General features: G+C 42.9%; 1 protein-coding gene across 32 annotated transcripts in view, besides 2 other annotated features; it reads right to left on the minus strand.

Annotated features, from left to right (window-relative positions):
* The window catches only part of MYT1L (myelin transcription factor 1 like), a 542,163-nt gene that overhangs the window by 338,321 nt on the left and 183,058 nt on the right, over nt 1-20,784 (minus strand). The window lies entirely within an intron of this gene.
* Nucleotides 18,596-19,119: an enhancer, noted in NCBI's record as "H3K4me1 hESC enhancer chr2:2149801-2150324 (GRCh37/hg19 assembly coordinates)". NCBI's record gives its function as "activates a minimal SCP1, AML or CMV promoter by ChIP-STARR-seq in naive H9 embryonic stem cells {active_cell/tissue: H9 hESC(naive)}" and the evidence as "EXISTENCE:reporter gene assay evidence [ECO:0000049][PMID:30033119]".
* Nucleotides 19,642-20,164: an enhancer, noted in NCBI's record as "NANOG-H3K4me1 hESC enhancer chr2:2150847-2151369 (GRCh37/hg19 assembly coordinates)". NCBI's record gives its function as "activates a minimal SCP1, AML or CMV promoter by ChIP-STARR-seq in naive H9 embryonic stem cells {active_cell/tissue: H9 hESC(naive)}" and the evidence as "EXISTENCE:reporter gene assay evidence [ECO:0000049][PMID:30033119]".

Here is a 20,784-nt window from a genome sequence, read left to right on the forward strand (position 1 = left end):
GATATAAGGTGACCTAATGTTAATTTTGTAACTCTACAAAGCTCCCTAGGTGCATAAACCCACACCGCCATCTCAATCTAGAGATCCTGCTACCAAATAGAGCCTTGTCAGAACTCCAGAATGTTCCCCTACACCCCTCCCGGTAAGCAGCTGCTCTTCTGACTTGCACTAGCATCCCTTCGTTTCTCTCCGTCCTGAGTGTTATGTAAATGAACCACGCAGCATGTGCACGTCTGTGTCTGGACTGAGCTCCGCAGCTCTCATGCAGTGCTCCACTGAGCTGCTGGACCACTGAGCAAAGATGAGGAAGGAGGCACAAAGGCTCACATTTGTGACTCTGATGGGAAGGCTCCTCCCAGAATCACATTTCCCTGCATCCACACACCACCACCTCCTTGCCGAATAATGTAATCAGAAGATTAGGGACTTCTGAGTCAAAGAATAGGGTTTGAATTCAGTTTGCCATTTCCTAGCTGCCTGAAATTAAGTCACTGATCCTATCTTAGTCTCTCTAAAATAAATGTATTAATAATGCTACCTAACAGATTTGCTGTGATCATTGAATGAAATAATGTATGTGAAATTACTTTAAATTGGAAAGTATCATAACAATGCTAATTATGAAAAACAACAACTGTCCTTTCCTGACGTTAAGAAAGATAGTGATGCAAACCAGAAAGGTCACCAGCTCTGAGATCGCTTCTAAACCTTGAACTTCTTTTTATTTTTTTGGGCATCAGAGTCTCTCTTTGTTGCCCAGGCTGGAGTGCAGTAGTGTATTTGGCTCAGTGCAATCTCCACCTCCCATTCTCAAGTGATTCTCCTGCCTCAGCCTCCCGAATAGCTGGGATTACAGGCACCCAACACCACGCCTGGCTAATTTTTTGTATTTTTCATAGAGATGGATGGCATTTCACCATGTTAGCCAGGTTGGTCTTGAACTCCTGACCTCAAGTGATCCACCTGGCTCAGCCTCCCAAATTGCTAGGATTACAGGCATGAGCCACTACACCCAGCCTTAAGCTTGAACTTCTAAATGAGAAGAGTATTATCTACAGTGCCTAACTTTATGGGATGCACAAGAATCAAGAGAGGCATGATTCATACATTCACTGGTGAAAGGTAGAGTTGGTGGCAATGGGGATTATTCTATGTAAAAACATAGTCTAATATATGTTAACTACATAAATACACATTTGTATTTAATTAAAATTTATAATGGTTATTATACCTACAAATTAAAGGAAATAAATGGAAAAACAATAGGAAACATTCTATACCCATTTCAAATAAAGAGTGTACATAAATTCCCACCATAATTCAACAGCATAGGTCATATTAAATGGAGAAATGTTAATAACACTGCATTGAGATCAGGAAAAAGAGATGTCCTTCATCATCCCTTCTAGCCAACATTATTTAGGAGGCTCCAGTTAACATAGTGAGATAATTGCCCAACATTATTTGCATAAATATTAAAAGGGAAGATGCTTTGTTTGCAGATGAAATGATTTCATGCCAAGGAAACAGAAGAGAGACTCTTCCAAGGAATATTAAAATTAGTAGAAAACTGAATACAGTGGTTGGAGACAAAAAACATACCAAAATTAATGGCTTTTCTTTCTATTATCAGTCGCCACATTGACACAGAAATGGTAAAGAAAACCTCGTTCACTGAGAAGACAGACGCTAATCCACAAACCCAGAGCAAGACCTTAATGAATGTGGTGATGCAGCAGATGCCTGGAGGAGAAGGTGGTCGGGAAGAAGTTACATCCACAAGCACAGTTTCACGTGTCTCTAGTCTGTCTCCAGATAGGTTAATTTGGGGATCTTCAAAATTTGAAGATCACTTGGAAAAATAAAGATATGATAACTGCTGAACAATTAGGCAAATATCATGCTCTTCTGGATATTGAGGGCTTACTATAAAGCTAATGCTATGAAACCAGTATGGTATTGACATAGAAATGGGAAAAAACAGTTTGATTGAAAAGAATGAAGAGCTTAGAAAAAGTTCCAAATGGCAGAAAGTGTGTGATAAAGAAGGCACTGCCCTAGAGTGGAAGGCAGCTGTCCCCCCAGAGTGCCTGTCAGGCTGGAGCCCACACAGGAGAGAACACAGCCAGCTGGACAAGTGACCGCAGCCACAAACACCAATTGCATATTGAGTCAAGAATTAACTTATTTAGGCCGGGCGCGGTGGCTCACGCCTGTAATCCCAGCACTTTGGGAGACTGAGGTGGGCGGATCACAAGGTCAGGAGATCGAGACCATCCTGGCTAACACGGTGAAACCCCATCTCTACTAAAAATACAAAAAATTAGCCAGGTGTGGTGGCGGGCGCCTGTAGTCCCAGCTACTCGGGAGGCTGAGGCAGGAGAATGGCGTGAACCCGGGAGGCGGAGCTTGCAGTGAGCCGAGATTGGGCCACTGTACTCCTGCCTGGGCGACAGAGCGAGACTCCATCTCAAAAAAAAAAAAAAAATTAACTTCTTTAAAGAATTGTAAACTTAAGGAACATAAGAAACAGGCCACAGAACTGACCAGATTTGACTACATAAATTTTAATTTTCTACGTGGGAAAAGGCACCATAGGTATTCATAAATATTATCAGCAATCTAATGGTAGATTGAGAGAAAACATTTGCATTATAGGACAGAAAAATAATCTATATCCCCCAAATATTAAGATAGCCTTAAATTTGAAAAGAGAAAGACAACTCAGTATAAAAGGGGTTCCGAATAGGGACGGCAAGTCACAGAGGTAGCAGCACGAGGAGCTGAGGTAATGCCCAGCCTCCTTAGCAGCTGGAAAAATGCATATTAATATAACAGAAGAGTTCCACCGAGAACACTGGCCAAAACTCCAAAGATTGATCACATCCACCGCTGGTGGTAACATAACCAATTGCTATAACATTGTCTGCAGAAATCTGGCATTACTGATGAAAACTCTGAATGGTATTCCCCTGGATCCAATGATCCAATACACAGGCATCCCTCCTACAGAAATAAAGGCGCAGGTGTCCAGGTGTGTGTGCACAAACACGTCTGCAGCAGTGGTCTCGAGTGGAAAAGCCTGGGAACCCACATTCATGTTGATGGCAGAGGAATGGTGGAGTCAATTCAGGCTAAAATGCACCATGGGATACTCTGCTGCTATTTTAAAAAAAGTGAGATAGGGCAGGTCATTTTGACCCAGAGAGGCGTCTGTATACATAATGGAGTAAGAACAGGTTGATGATGAGAACTTCATAGTACAACCACGGAATTCGCAGGAAGGAAATGCTTTGTGTCAACATAGATGCTTTTGTGAGTGGATACAAGTGAACATGAACCTTTGGATAAAATGAGGGGAATAATATTAGCTTTTTTCTTTGTGTGCTCTTGTTTGCTTAGTTTATGACAATTTTATTTGTCATAAACAATTTTATTCTTGAAATTTCAACAAGAAACCCAGGCAAGAAAAAAATCTTTAAAGCTCCTTTCATGAGTGTGTTTATAAATCCAGTTAGAAATTTCCACATTAACAATTCTAAAAAGGAGCAGTCAATATTTAAAGGAAAAATGCATGACCCCTAAATAGTTTTTAAAGCTGAAAGAGAGGGAAATCTGTGTTGCGATACCTTATGGAAGTAGAGACGGGATGGTCTTCAACAGCAGCAGCTGTCCCTGGGGAAAGCTACTCTGGTTCTCCTTTCCCTAAGTATAAAAAGCTGTAGTAACCAAAGCAAGGAGCCCACCAGGTACACAGAGCTCACCTCGTGCAGCTCGGAGGAAAAGACAGGAAGGGGTCAATCCATCCACATTAGGATGCACATTACTTAGGGGACTTGGAGGAAACACCACTTAGTGCACAGATGCGCATAAATCAAACAGCCTATGATACAACAGTTATGGCAAAATTATGCTTGTGGCTCCTAGTTTAGAAAAAGGCAACACAAGCATATTCATAATTTCCAGTGCAGATGTCACCTTCTCTTTTTAAAATTGCTTTTGCAATTTTAAAATGTCATTTTATTGGTGAAAGGGGCTGCATGGAGAGTTTATTTACTTACTGATTAGATTGATAAATGTGATGCCCACCATTAGCCTTTGGACATATGGTTACAGAGATGACAAAGCACATTAGTAACTAAATGAGAGGTTAGTAGCTTGGCTAATAGCAGACTTTAGCCTGTAATGTGGGGGTGAGGTGGGGCCATGGACACAATATATTCATGACAAGCTGTCCCATGGAAAACGGGCCACTGGGGAGGACTTGCAAGAGCAGTGATTGTGAGACGTAACCGTGAGGTTTTGGTGCTTCTGACAGCTCTTCCCAAGTGGGAACTCGGTTTTCCCAAGTGAGAACTCGGTCATGTAACCTCACTCTGTGCTGCACAGAGACTACTCTCTCAGACACCACGTTCTCTGCAGGAGGTACATGGTCTCTAATTCTGGAAGGGGACATGCAAGAGAGTTCATCCTTTTTTTTTTTTTTTTTTTTTTGAGATGGAGTCTCACTCTGTTGCCAGGCTGAAGTGCAGTGGTGCGATCTTGGCTCACTGCAACCTCCAACTCGCTGGTTCAAGTGATTCTCCCACCTCAGCCTCCGGAGTAGCTGGGATTACAGCAGGTGCCACCACGCCCAGCTAATTTTTGTATTTCTAGTAGAGATGGGGGTTTCACCACATTGGCCAGGATGGTCTCGATCTCCTGATCTCATGATCTGCCCACCTTGACCTCCCAAAGTGCTGGGATTACAGGCATGAGCCACTGCGCCCAGCCGAGAGTTCATCATTTTGGGCAGAGCTTGAGGGTCTCTTAAGAAATCGTTCTACTATAAAGACACATGCACACATACGTTTATTGCAGCACTATTTACAATATCAAAGACTTGGAACCAACCTGGATGTTCATCAGTGATAGACTGGATAAAGAAAATGTGGTACATATAGACTATGGAATACTATGCAGCCATAAAAGAGAATGAGTTCATGTCCTTTGCAGGGATATGGATGAAGCTGGAAACCATCACAGCAAACTAACACAGGAACAGAAAACCAAACACCACATGTTCTCACTCATAAGTGGGAGTTGAACAATGAGAACACATGGACACAGAGAGGGGAACATCACACACTGGGGCCTGTCGGGGGGTGGGGGCAAGGGGAGGGAGAGCGTTAGAACAAATATCCAATGCATGCGGGGCTTAAAACCTAGATGATGGGTTGGTAAGTGCAGCAAACCACCATGGCACATATATACCTATGTAACAAACCTGCATGTTCTGCACAAGTATCCCAGAACTTAAAAGTAAAATTTAAGAAAGACAGAGAGAGACAAAGAGAGAGAAAGAATCTATGTGATATGAATAGACTAAGTCTACAGAAATATATGAACTAAAAAATTAAGTCCTTTCAAGGCATCTATGGAATCAGAAATGCTCACGGTGGCCTGTTGGAAATTTATTGGGTGTCTTGGTAAGTCAGCCTTAAAAGCAGTCCCCTGTCCTGTCCTTAAAAACTCCAGCCCCTCTTCTTTGCTGGAGTTGTCTCTTTTCATATTCACTGACAATTGCTAAGTTTTGAAAGATGTCATAACAAGGAGGAGAGGTATGCTTCTCTCCTTATGTTCCTCCTGTACACACCGTCTTCTTTGGGGGGGACGAAGACACACGTTAAGAGACGGCGCTTTTTGAATGTTTAGGGCAAAGGCTCGCATGCCAGCATTACCCACCTTGTGCTTATCTCCAAATATACTTTTAAAAGTTTAGGAAGATCACAGGACGGCAGTGTAAAGCGATGATCTATACAGGCACAAAAACCAAGAGACTGCTCCTCCTACATACAGTTAGTGTCAATCAAGCGCAACTTCTCCCAACATTTGCAAATTAGGGACACACGGAACAAGGCACATCACAAAACAGTGAACTTAGCAAGAAAGGACAGTAAATTCAGTGAAAACAATCAAAGTCACTCCCCCTCATGCTTCTCAAGCATGCTAATCTCTTATGTTGTTATTTTTAAGTTACTGCTATTTGTGGAGATTAATCCCACAGCAGTTAATTTCCTCATACTCACCCAGTGTAAACTCAAAAGCATAAAAACACAAAACAGCATAGCACACCTTTTCTTGGGAAGCTGATATGAAGGCAAAATATTTTTATTCTTATCTTTAACATGCTTAATTTTAAAAGGGGATAAATAGCTGATTAATTTTTTTTCCAGTTTGTCTCCAAATCACAACACACTTGCTGCTTTCTGAATGGTCCCTTGGTGCTGATCTGATTCAGTGGCCAACATGTCCCCGTCTAAAGGTGGTACCCACCCTCACATGAAAGGGAAATGTTTGCAGTGAGGTCATGTGCCCTCCTTCCCCAGGCTACTTTTCCTGACTCTCCACTATGCCCGGGTGCTTAGGGACACACCACATGCCCTAATTGTACAAATAAAGCAGATGCTTTAAGAGAAAAAAAAGGACACGGGAATAATTTCTTTAAACTTAACAGCACAGTGTTCATCTACGTATGGTGGAAGAGAATGTTGATTCTCTTTAGAAACTGCCACTTGATCCCCCAGCCATTTTCACCTCTTCTAGTCCCTTGTTCCAAACAGCTGAAAGTCTCCTGATGGTGGTGTGGTGATCAAACACAATTCAACGTTTCCAAAACTAAACTCACTATCTCTCCCCGAAAATCCATTTGCCCTCGAGTGCACCCAGCCCAGTACATTGTGTGTCCATGGCTTCAGCTCTCATGCTGGCACCCCTGGGAGTCTCACCTCCCTCCTGGCTTCCACATCAGGTTCATTGTTTCTTACATCTCCCTACCACCAGATGGCTTCTCTATCCTCATTGCTACCATGCCACGAAGATGCCTCCAAACTTTGTTCCTACTATTGTAAATCTCCTAAGAGATCTTATTCCTCCAGTCTGGCTCCCTGAAATCCACTTTTACAGATAGAAGCTGGATCATTATTATTAGAAAACAAATGTGACTATGTATGTCCCTTGCTGAAAATCATACATGCTGCTATTAACAGAATGTCTGTGTCCTCCCCAAATTCATTTATGTTGATGCCCTAACCACAGTGTGATGGCTCTTGGAGGAGAGGCATTGGATGATGAGGTCATGAAGATGGAGCCTTTAGATGGAATTAGTGCCCTGGTAAGAAGAGAAAGAGAGACCAGAGCTCTCTCTCTACCACATGAGGACACAGTGAGGAAGTGACTGTCTGCAAGCCAGGAAATGGGCGCTTACCAGACAGACAACAGATTTGCCAGCACTTTGATCCTGGACTTCCAGAGTCCAGAAATGAACGTTGTTTTTTAAGCTACCCAGTTTGTGGTATTTTGTTATAACCCAAAGGAACTAAGATGTATCTCTTTCCTCGTCTGTGGCTAACAGTCCAAACTCCTTAACATGTATTGCAAAGGAGGGCACCACCCACCTCCTATCTCACTTTCTCTTCATCACAGGTAGCTGCCTACCCAGGTGAAACTCTTGCACCTCTTCAAAGGTACCATCTGCCTTCTTGCTTTCAAGTCTCCCCACATTCCATTCTGGCTGCCTTTGGTCCTGGCTATTTCTATCTAATCCACTCCACCAAATTCAGTTCCCTTCTCTGCACCTTTCCAGCTCCCTGCTCCCTCACTGGTGCAGAATTTCTGAGTTTATTCTAATTAATAATCAAGCTATCTGTGTGATATGGTTTGGCTGTGTCCCCACCCAAATCTCATCTTGAATTGTAGTTCTCATAATTCCCACGTGTCATGGGAGGGGCCTGGTGGAGGGTAATTGAATCATGGAGGTGGGTCTTCCTTGTGCTGTTCTCATGATAGTGAATAAGTCTCAGGAGACCTGATGGTTTTATAAAGGGGATTTTCCCTGCACACTCTCTCTCTTTCCTGCTGCCATGTAAGACATGACTTTGCTCTTCCTTTGCCTTCCACCATGATTGTGAGGCCTCCCAGCCATGTGGAACTGTGAGTCCATTAAACCTCTTTCCTTTATAAATTACTTAGTCTCAGGTATGTCTTTATTAGCAGCATGAGAACAGGCTAATACACTGTGTAAGCTACTAATTTCTTACCTGAGCAGGGCAAGAAATTTCCTGTCTCATTGACCATTCTGTCCCAAAGTATGACACATGTTCTGAAGTATGTTTGTTGATAGAATATAGAAATGTATACATGAACGAATGAACAAAAGAGAGGAAGAAAGGCAGAGTGGACGGATGAAGAGAGAAATCAGTGGAAAAGGAGGCTGGGTCTTGTACTCTATGGAAAAAGCCATAATCATGCCATGTGGTGGTGACAGCATGCCATCATCAATGAGTGACCAAAGGGCCAGAGAATGTGCTAAGATGGCCAGAAAAAGAGGAATGCGCTGTCTTTCAGTCTGTCCTCCCACTCTGTGGACCTGGGCCTGCCGGGCTTGGCCTTTAACCCTGGTCCTCTCTCGGGTCTCTTAAGAAAACGTTCTACTATAAAGACACATGCACACATATGTTTACTGCAGCACTATTTACAATATCAAAGACTTGAAACCAACCCAAATGTTCATCAGTGATAGACTGGATAAAGAAAATGTGGTACATATACACCATGGAATACTATGCAGCCATAAAAGAGAATGAGTTCATGTCCTTTGCAAGGACATGGATGAAGCTGGGAACCATCATTCTCAGCAAACTAACACAGGAACAGAAAACCAAACACCCTAGCTCTCACTTTTTATGTTCCTCCAGTCTGTGACTCTGCTGGGAAACAGAATAATGAGCAAAGGAGAGAAAATGGTTCATCTCAGAGCAGCCAATTTGTTCTTTCTGTCCCTTAGCAGTCCTTTCAGAAACTGCATATTCCAGCATACAGATGCCTTTGTGGTTTGAAAGAGTTAATATGTTACCAAGGAGCGAGGAATTTAAATTCTTCCGCTCCTCACCGACAAGATCAGGTCTGATATCCAGGAAACTGTTAAATTCTTCAAACCAAGGCTGAGAATCTTCTTGACAAGCAAACACATTTCTCAGCTCTGGGTAACAGTTTCTGAGAGATGTAGATATGAGAGATTATTTCTCTCCCTTCCCTCGCCCTCAAGAGGAGGGAGCAAGTCAATCATGGACACGTCCCAGCCTGTTAGCAGAGCTCAATTTCTTTGATGGTTTAAAAATCAATGTATGTTCTTTCTCTATTAATTTTTAATCATGAAATCTTCAATTTTAGTAAATCCATATTATTCTTACTGTTTAGATTTTCTTTCTTGTCTTCAAAGAAATCAGTAATCTATCACACATCCTCGTGAGGCTTGTTTATACTGAATTGGCATAAACTGGAAGCATTCCCTTTGAAAACTGGCACAAGACAGGGATGCCCTCTCTCACCACTCCTATTCAACATAGTGTTGGAAGTTCTGGCCAGGGCAATTAGGCAGGAAAAGGAAATAAAGGGTATTCAATCAGGAAAAGAGGAAGTCAAATTGTCCTTGTTTGCAGATGACATGATTGTATATCTAGAAAACCCCATCGTCTCAGCCCAAAATCTCCTTAAGCTGATAAGAAACTTCAGCAAAGTCTCAGGATACAAAATCAATGTGCAAAAATCACAAGCATTCTTATACACCAATAACAGACAAACAGAGAGCCAAATCATGAGTGAACTCCCATTCACAATTGCTTCAAAGAGAATAAAATACCTAGGAATCCACCTTACAAGGGACGTGAAGGACCTCTTCAAGGAGAACTACAAACCACTGCTCAATGAAATAGAAGAGGATACAAACAAATGGAAGAACATTCCATGCTCATGGGTGGGAAGAATCAATATCGTGAAAATGGCCATACTGCCCAAGGTAATTTATAGATTCAATGCCATCCTCATCAAGCTACCAATGACTTTCTTCACAGAATTGGAAAAAACTACTTTAAAGTTCATATGGAACCAAAAAAGAGCCTGCATCACCAAGTCAATCCTAAGCCAAAAGAACAAAGCTGAAAGCATCACGCTACCTGACTTCAAACTATACTACAAGGCTACAGTCACCAAAACAGCATGGTACTGGTACCAAAACAGAGATATAGATCAATGGAACAGAACAGAGCCCTCAGAAATAATGCCACATATCTACAACTATCTGATCTTTGACAAACCTGCGAAAAACAAGCAATGGGGAAAGGATTCCCTATTTAATAAATGGTGCTGAGAAAACTGGCTAGCCATATGTAGAAAGCTGAAACTGGATCGCTTCCTTACACCTTATACAAAAATCAATTCAAGATGGATTAAAGACTTAAACATTAGACCTAAAACCATAAAAACTCTAGAAGAAAACCTAGGCACTACCATTCAGAACATAGGCACCGCAAGGACTTCATGTCTGAAACACCAAAAGCAATGGTAACAAAAGCCACAATTGACAAATGGGATCTAATTAAACTAAAGAGCTTCTGCACAGCAAAAGAAACTACCATCAGAGTAAACAGGCAACCCACAAAATGGGAGAAAATTTTTGCAACCTACTCATCTGACAAAGGGCTAATATCCAGAATCTACAATGAACTCAAACAAATTTACAAGAAAAAAACAAACAACCCCATCAAAAAGTGGGCAAAGGACATGAACAGACACTTCGCAAAATAAGACATTTATGCAGCCAAAAAACACATGAAAAAATGCTCACCATCACTGTCCATCAGAGAAATGCAAATCAAAACCACAATGAGATAGATATCATCTCACACCAGTTAGAATGGCAATCATTAAAAAGTCAGGAAACAACAGGTGCTGGAGAGGATGTGGAGAAATAGGAACACTTTTACACTGTTGGTGGGACTGGAAACTAGTTCAACCATTGTGGAAGTCAGTGTGGCGATTCCTCAGGGATCTAGAACTAGAAATACCATTTGACCCAGCCATCCCATTACTGGGTATATACCCAAAGGACTATAAATCATGCTGCTATAAAGACACATGCACACGTATGTTTATTGCGGCACTATTCACAATAGCAAAGACTTGGAACCAACCCAAATGTCCAACAATGATAGACTGGATTAAGAAAATGTGGCACATATACACCATGGAATACTATGCAGCCACAAAAAATGATGAGTTCATGTCCTTTGTAGGGACATGGATGAAATTGGAAATCATCATTCTCAGTAAACTATCGCAAGAACAAAAAACCAAACACCGCATATTCTCACTCATAGGTGGGAATTGAACAATGAGAACACATGGACACAGGAAGGGGAACATCACACTCTGGGGACTGTTGTGGGGTGGGGGGAGGGGGGAGGGATAGCATTGGGAGATATACCTAATGCTAGATGACGAGTTAGTGGGTGCAGCGCACCAGCATGGCACATGTATACATATGTAATTAACCTGCACATTGTGCACATGTACCCTAAAACTTAAAGTATAATTAAAAAAAAAAAAAAAAGAAATAAGGACTGCCTCCGAAAGCCTGGTGTGGTTTCCCGCCTGGGCCGCAGTAAAGGCACACTGTGCTAGCTGGGCAGGCCACTTGCCATGCCATTCTGTCTTCTAGGAACTGCACTACCAACGGCACATGCAAAACAATCACGTTCCTTCTTATGAAGGAGCTTGGATTCTAGCAGGGAGATAATTATAGGACCCTGTATTAGGTGCCAGAATAGGATGAGGACACCGAGACCAGCATCTGGTCTACCAAGAGGCGTGAATCTAAGAGGACTTCCTGCAACAGAGCATATGGAACAAGTGCATGGCGTCTCCTCCTCCCATACACGTCCCCTGACTGCTGGAATGCCATCTACTAGAAGGGGAGACGTGGTCTCCAGAAACCTAAATTCAGCCATGAAATTTCATCTTCTTTATTTAAACTGTAGCTGCCAGAGTGAAGAATGCAGGTGAGTTACAAATGAATGTGCATGTCCAGGCCAGGCGTGGTGGCTCACACCTGCAATCCTGGCACTTTGGGAGGCCGAGGTGGGTGGATCACCTGAGGTCAGGAGTTCAAGACTAGCCTGGCCAACATGATGAAACCCTGTTTCTACTAAAAAAAAAATATATGTATATATATACAAAAATTAGCTGGGCGTGGTGGTGCGTGCCTATAATCCCAGCTACTCGGGAGGCTGAGGCAGGAGAATCACTTGAACTCGGGAGGCGAAGGTTGCAGTAAGCCGAGATTGCACCATTGCACTCCAGCCTGGGTGACAGAGCGACACTCCATCTCAAAAAAATAAAATAAATAAATAAATAAATATAAAAAAGTGCATGTCCAGGCACCGGGAGACGTCCGCACTGCACAAGAGGCAGTTCTGTTCCTCATGTTATGGCTGAAGACTGAGTAGAACAGAATCATTGGCAAGTGCTGCTTACTCTTCCATGGTTGTAGCAAACAAAACTATAATTTTGAGAAAAATATTTTCTTTATTAAAGTTACTCACATTCTTGAAAAATAAAAATGTGTTTTCATTTCCTCAGGTATGTTGGTTTATTCTTGTTTGTTCTATTCTTAAGAATGGCATTTCAGATTGGGGAGCAAGGATCGGTCAAAACTTTTGCATCATGTATTAAAAATTATAAAGCACAACATGATATATCACATAAACTAAATTAGAAAGAGATTTCTCACAGCAGAAATAAAATATGTTGCTTATTTCTTTCTTGTATTTAATCATCTGCCATAACACATGTATATCGGCAGATTGAAATTCCTAATTTAAGAGAGTCCTATAAAGCCTTTCAAAACAAGAAAGTTGTTGACATACATTGATGAGCATTACTGTTAAATGTAAAATCATCTCAACTTAGATTAAATAAAATGTTTTTTAAAATGTGCCATAGCAAATTTAAAATTTTTTACACATTAAAAGTCAGGAACCAATAAGAATGTTTTGAAAGGCAATTTATTCCAATTGTTTTTGTTAAAAAAGCTGTTTAACAGTGCACTTATTCTGTTTTGTAGAAATTTGCTCTTTTTGCAAGATAATGGATCAATGTCTTTATTTTTTTTCTTTCTTTTTCTTTTTTTTTTTTTTTTTTTTGAGACAGAGTATCACTCTGTTGCCCAGGCTGGAGTGCAGTGGCACGATCCTGGATCACTACAACCTCCGCCTCCCTGGTTCAAGGGATTCTCATGCCTTGGCCTCCCAAGTAGCTGGGACTACAGGTGCCCGCCACCACGCCTGGCTAATTTTTTGTATTTTTAGTAGAGACGGGGTTTCACCATGTTAGCCAGGATGGTCTTGATCTCCTGACCTCATGATCCGCCGCCTCGGCCTCTCAAAGTGCTGGGATTACAGGCGTGAGACACCACGCCCGGCCTAATTTTTGTATTTTTAATAGAGATGGGGTTTCACTATATTGGCCAGTTTGGTCTCAAATTCCTGACCTCAGGTGATCCACTTGCCTCAGCCTCCCAAAGTGTTGGGATTATAGGCATGAGCCACTGCGCCTGGCCTGGATCAATGTCTTCAAATATAATTTTTTGATTGTTCGGAATTAGGCAATTGCATATTGAAATTATCAAATACTTTTTTTTAAATTAACCCAAAACTATATAATCATAGAAATTTCACTGTCTTTAAAAATGTCTCAGAAATCTGCATATTAATTCCAATACCGCTTGTTTTCATTGTAAACATTATGCATGCTCTTGTAAGATATTCAAATCCCATGGAGAAGTGTATGGATGGTATGAAAATCAGTGAACATTTCATCCACAAAGAGATAACTACTGTTTGTTTTTATTAAATTGATATCTTTTTATTCATTCCTTCTGTATAATTAACGTACACACAGGCATGCATAATCATAAAAATACATGGTTGTGTGTAAATGGGATCCCACAGGTAAACCCTTTATAATCTGCCTTTCCACTAATAAACATATGGATTTTTATGTCAATAAATTTAAATTTATATTACCATTTCAAGGCTGCTTAGGAGTTCCCGTGGCTGTAACACATTTCATAAGACTTTTAGGATGCCCTACCCACCTGTTTAAACCAATACAGAGAACACATTCCCTTTTCCCATCTCTATCTATGTATTGCATTATCCCGTGAGATAATGAATTTCAGTTTCAGAAGTCAGATTTCTGGGCCTGAGTTCTGCTCGAGCACTCTTTTTCCTACTGTTGATAGACAGAGCTAAGCTTCCCATCAGAAGAGGTGCACTAATTAAACCTCTCGTATCAGGAGAAGAGACAGTCCACTTAAAATGTATTTTGGAAAAGTCTGCGAGGGCCAATAATAGTTTCTGGCATATCAAGAGTGCTCACTCTTTGAGGATGTGTTTGGATTTTACAAGTAACCCTACGTCATGGGGCCAGGACAGATGAATAAGCTGTAGAGAAAGTTGGGTGCTAGAACGAAGAACAAGACTCAGCCAAACGCCAGAGAGCTGGAGTAAAACCTTAGTCCAGGAGCCTCCTTTGAAGGTTGCAGAGAAACTTTAAACATTGAGAAACTTCTATGTAGGGAGACCGACTCAGTCAATGAATTTTGGAAATTTAAAAAATGATAATTAAAAACCCAAGCACGTCCTCATCTGTTATTTTGAGATTCTCCTTCTCCCACACGGGAAAGCTTAATGTTTTCTTTTTAGTCAATATAAGAAAATATCAGCTTTCCTTTAAAAATAATTACTTCTGTCTACCTTTTCTTGAAAGATCAAATTCATATCAAGTTCATGCTTTCTCTCATATGACACAAAATTACACGGCTGTTGTCCCCCTTTCTCGCCTGTTTGAGCCTTGTTCAGGATGCACGTGAATCCTTTCCTAGACTCAGCAAACATCTTGTGTTACGAGTTGCAATCATCTACTCTCAAGGACCAGAGAAGTGACCTTTCCAAACGCTTAAGGACGCAGTGGATGTTTAGAAGACAGTGCCGCGAATTGTCATAGCATTCTTCCTCCTACCATCCTTTACATTAATTTTCTCATTATTTCAATATCCCACATGTCCTATGCATCTTATCAACTTTACAGATATTTTAATAGAACTTTTGCTCAAACAGTGGTGACTGAGTTTGTGAGTTTGTTGTTATGCGAATACCACCAGGATCTCTGCATAAGACCAACTCACCAGGCGTGAAGCGTCAACTCCCTGGGCTGTGTTGTACATGTTCCCATCTGGAGAGGGAGCTCCACATCCATGCACAGTAACCGTTCAGAGGTACATTTGTGTGCAGTGAACATTAACAAAGGGTTAGAGATTCTGTTCCCACTGCCTTGTGAGCTGATGTATATAGACAAGCAAACCCAAACTCTGATAACTATTTTTGTTTTTTTTGAGAAGGAGTCTTGCTCTGTTGCCCAGGCTGGAGTGCAATGGCATGATCTCGGCTCACTGCAACCTCTGCCTCCTGGGTTCAAGTGATTCTCCTGCCTCAGACTCCCAAGTAGCTGGGATTACAGGCACGCACCACCATGCCTGGCTAATGTTTGGATTTTTAGTAGAGACAGGATCTTGCCATGTTGGCCAGGGTGGTCTCAAACTCCTGACCTCAGGTGATCTGCCTGCCTCGGCCTCCCAAATTGCTAGGCTTACAGGTGTGAGCCACCATGCCCGGCCATAACTTTTTTAAAAAGTTGTAGGCTGGGCGCGGTGGCTCGAGCCTGTAATCCCAGCACTTTGGGAGGCCGAGGCGGGCAGATCATGAGGTCAGGAGATTGAGACCATCCTGGCTAACATGGTGAAACCCCGTCCCTACTAAAAATACAAAAAATTAGCCGGGCGCAGTGGCAGGCGCCTGTAGTCCCAGCTACTCGGGAGGCTGAGGCAGGAGAATGGCGTGAACTTGGGGTGCAGAGCTTGCAGTGAGCCGAGATTGTGCCACTGCATTCCAGCCTGGGCGACAGAGCGAGACTCCGTCTCAAAAAAAAAAAAAAAAAAAAGTTGTAGATTCTGAAGTTTAAAAACAAAGAGAGGAATGCCCTAGAAAAACAGGAACTGACGGAGGAGGCTGTGCCTGGGGCCGAGGTGGTCGGTCACTCTATGTGCACAGCCTGCCTTCACCCCACATGGCCACACTTCCTGCAATTCTATTGGTCAGGGATTCCCTTGGAAGCCAACGTTTATCTTAGACTCTCAAGTCCTCTCAGGGGGTAGGAGCCTCACTTACTCACGTACCACTGAGCCTTTGTTTAAGAGATTATTCTTCTCCTGATGTCTGTGTTAGGTGCTAAGAATGATGTGAGGGGCAGAGGTGGGTCATTTGGGAGGCCCAGGTGTTAGAGGGGACAGAAGGCTGAGACATGGGGTGGCATTTGTACCCAGGGGATGGGCACAGCTAAAGAAAAGAGGAGCTTACTCTACACAAACTTGGTCTGATTTAAAATGCATGTTGACATGGAATACTATGCAGCCATCAAAAGAACGAAATCGTGTCCTTTGCAGCAACATGGATGCAGCTGGAGGCCATTATCCTAAGTGAACTAACACAGGAACAGAAAACCAAATGCCATGTGTTCTCACTTATAAGTGGGAATGAAACACCGGATACTCGTCGGCATAAAGATGGGAGCAATAGACGCTGGGGACTATTAGAGGGGGAGGGAGGGAGGGGCGCAAGGGTTGAAAACTATTGGGTCCTATGCTCAGTACCTGGATCAACCGTACCCCAAACCTCAGCATCATACAATACACCCAGCTAAAAAGCCTGCACATGTACCCCCTAAAATCTAAAATAAAAGTTGAAGTTATGGTTTACAAAATCCTAAAAACAGAAAAACCAATGTGCGTTGGTTGCACCTGCACCTGGGAGGTTAGGCCGTCAGGTGGGGGTGGGGGAGGTTTTGTCCCCCTCCCTCCTGCTCTGCCCTCAGCTTCCCAGGACTAAGGCCACTCACAGTCATGGCTCCCCAGCCACCCCCACGCCTGGGCCACCTTCAGGAGGGAGAAGCTGCTGATGGAGGTCACCAGTCAGCGGCCTCATCTCACGTTTCCACCTGCTGGGCTTGGCCATCTGTATGGCTCACAGGTTAAATTCCTCCATATTGTGTGCTGGAAAACTAGGCATAAATGGAATTGTTCACAGTAACTTATTGTTCCTTGTATAATCAAATCCATAGTCTGTGCAGAATCCCTGCCCCTGAATCTCTAATACTATGGTTTTTCTAAGCTGTGAGTGAAGTGGAAAGTAAAACCTTATGGACTAGTGTGGGAAACGGCAGACACTTTAGGTGCTGGATCCAAAGGAAAGCTCCTTTGCATCTTCCAGCCCCTGGTTCCAGTGAACCATGAAAGTCCAGCTATGTGGTCATCGGACATGCCCTGGGTAGATACACTTACATGTAATGGAATCGTTTGTAAAGGATTAAAGGAGCTAGAACGTTTACAATGTGCTTTAAATGTTATTTTTAATAGACTTTCACAGGCTAGCCAGCATCTTTCTGCGGCTCTCATCATGTAAAATCCCGTTTACAACGTCCACACCTCACCACCTTTCTCTTGCTCTGCAAACCTCAAAGAATATTGCAGTGAATTATACCTTTAATTATATCATTATTCTTATAAATCTTCTCTGGAAAAAAATAAAATGGGCTGAATATAAAATGTAATTTTACTTGTAAAAATATCTCTGATCATGAAGACTATCTTAATATTTGCTTTGTTGAAAAGTATGTGTGTTTGTGTGTGCGTGAATGCACAAAAACATACACACATCTCTTACAAGGGCAAGAACCTGTGAGACGTCTTTCAGGGCCATTGAAGGAGCCCACGCCTTAGGAAGCTCCTGGCAGGTGACTTCATGGAACTGGCATACACATGGCTCTGAAGGTGTGGCCTCATTGTCTGTGTACGACCTGAGCAAATGGCCCGTGGGGAGGAGATTCTGGAGAAAGCAAAGGAGATGCCTCCATGGCCGTCTGGGGCATAGAAGTGCCGCTGAATTTGTGAAATGGAATCAGCAATGCATCTTCTCCAGCGCTTCCTGAACACGCCGTCCAGCGCTCTAACCTGTGTCTGAGACAGAGACCTAAGTGGCACTACAGATAAAAGATGTGTCATAAAAATAGTCCTGTCTCCATGTCTTCCTTCCTGGTGTTTCTAAACTTGCCACACCATGATATCATGGTGGGATACAAAGGGTGTCCACAAGGCCAGATTTAAATTGGAAAGTTAGGAAGGAGAGCTCATTCTAAAGTAAAAAGGGTAGAAGATGGTGTGGGAAAGAAGGGAAGAACACCTTTCAGTATCCACTGGAAAAAAAATACACACACACAAGACACACACACACACACACACACACAAAGACACATATACACACACACACTGCCAGAAAAAGATACCTGTAATGGTGGCTTACAGCAGACTTTTAAAAAAATTAAAAACTTTGTTATAAATGTATAGAGTTTAATATAATGTTTTGACAAATATATGTTAATTATATAAATTAATTTGGCTTAAAACTGAAAGCAATTTAGAAAAGGTCAAACAGGCAGAAAATGCCCATGCAAGCATTTTATAAAATGATTGTTTCAAAAAAATGATGTAATGTTCAGAGGACTTCTATCCTTTCTGCTTAGAATGTGAGGAAACAGAAGTGTTCCCCCCGATCTCATGCCAATGCTGACGATCTGGAACACTGTGAGTGCATTTTCCCATCTTAACAAAGGGAATTATTAGTACCATTGTCTAAGGACTGTGTGGTGCCCAAGGCTGATTCCAATGGCCATTATGCAAGTTGCACAGAAGTACATAAATCTGTAACAGTAACTAAGCACATCAGGATAGAGTTTTATATTTTTTCAAATAATGTTTACAAAATATTAATATTATGCAATTTGACTTAGTTATAAATGCATCTTTTTCTTTTAAAAATGAAGAAAACAGGTATATGGATTTGTTGGCATTACAATGAAATAACTGTTCTGTCATGGAGACCACACAAAGGCCAGGAGCATGTGTCTGGGCAGAGACGCCTGAGACGATAGGAGTGAGTGTGGCACAAGGGCCTGGAGAGTGTGGCCGGGCAGAGCACCTGGGACGATAGAAGTGAGTGTGGGTGGTAAGCACCATCCTCCTAAGGTGAGGGCTGCGGAGGATGGAGCATCTGCAGGGGTCCTGCCTCCCTTCCTGGGCTCAGTGCTGCTGTCTGCTTCTCAGCCCACCCCTGGAGACAGATACGACCCCTAGATCTAAATGAGCAAAAAGATGCAACCTAAAATGCCAAGCTGCTGTCCCCTGTGTCCAAAGGAGGGCCGGCTTGTTCAGGAGCTATTGTTGAGATCCATGAATAACAAATAACTTCAGAATTAACAAGTGCATCTACACAGTGAACAATTTCCTATTGTTTCCATGCTTACTCCTAATTTTCTTGGTGCAATTTTCGTAGATTAATCAATGAGCTGACACCCTATTAAATAGGGGCCACCTTAGATATGCAGTCACTTTACAATGCATCTCCTTTGGTGCTTCTGCAGCAAAACTCCAGGCAATGTCTTGTGTGACCTTGAACATCCTTCACAGCCATCAGCACTAAATATAAGGCTTTTTGTCCATTTGTTCCACAGAGCAGAAAGGAAAGGGGTCTGGAGTATTTGTTACTCTCATCTGAGATCATCTCTTAGCTTAGGAGTTGCCTCATGATGGCATTTCTCAGCAACAAGACTCAGTGACAATTGGGCTGCTGCAGTTATTAGCATTCAAAAGCCATGCAAAGCTGCAGCTGAACTCCAGCTGCTAGCAGGCTTGAAAAGACCCAGTGCCTTGCAAATCTCTCAGACAGGCATTTGGAGACTAGCACTCCATGACCAAATCATCCTCCCCATGTAAACCTCACATCTAATGATAATGAACAGCACCACAATCAGACAGCCTCCTCAGCCTGGATGCTTGCAAGTCTGTGTCAGAGCGTTGGTGTCAAACAAAACCTGGAAGGACTCAGGATGCATCCATAAATATGCCACTCTGCATGGCTGAGAGGGTGCGAGCACACAGCAGGCACACTGCCTGTTGGCGATGTGGGCTCCAAGCCCCTGGGCAGAGGCGTTCTGTTGGAGTTAGCACTCAGGCAGGACTCCAGGAAGGACCGTTCCCTCCATCAGATGCCATTCGGCTATGTCCCAAGCGTGGTTTGTCCTTGAGGAACTCCAAGGGTAAATGAGGCACGAGAACCCACAGCTGACTGTCTGTTCAGGCACAAGGCAGAAGCCACATATTCTGCCACCAACACTTCAGCTCACGGCCTCACAAGTGACTCCAAAGGAGCCTGAGTCCTCTGCACCCGCAGGACGGGGGGCGGGTGGGTGGCTCAGAGGCTGACAGCGTGTGACAAGCTGCCAACCTGCTCACGAGAGCTGAAATGGCAGCCAAAGGCACAAGAAGGCAGGGTGTCTGCGTCCCAGACGAGGACAGCTGGGGCACATAGCAAGCAGCCCGTCCACCTGGGAGCCCCGCAGCAGACGGCAGATCACTGTCACTTAAAGACACAGGTCCATCTGGTACCGTGTCTCCTGGTTACCAGGATTTCCAATTTTGAATTTTAATACACTTTGTCTTTCACTTTCCTGCTCAAGAAAGAGCCACAGACACCTCAGACTTTAAACTGCATCTGAATCTGTAGTTCTAGGAGCCAGATAGAGAATGCTGTTGGAGGAGATTGGCGAGAGGCCGCCTGAGGAGAGCCTGCACCTCTAATTTAAGCAGGATGCAGGATCACACCTCTCATCCTCCAGGGCTCACCAGTTCCATTTCCCTGGTGCCCGCATGACTTATCTGGATATCAAGGAGACTGGCAGAGATATCTAGCAATGATCTCTTTACTAAAGGCATAAAGCAGTGCTCCCCAACCTTTTTGG

The sequence above is a fragment of the Homo sapiens genome, chromosome 2 (genome assembly GCF_000001405.40).
Source record: "Homo sapiens chromosome 2, GRCh38.p14 Primary Assembly".
Lineage (NCBI taxonomy): Eukaryota > Metazoa > Chordata > Mammalia > Primates > Hominidae > Homo > Homo sapiens.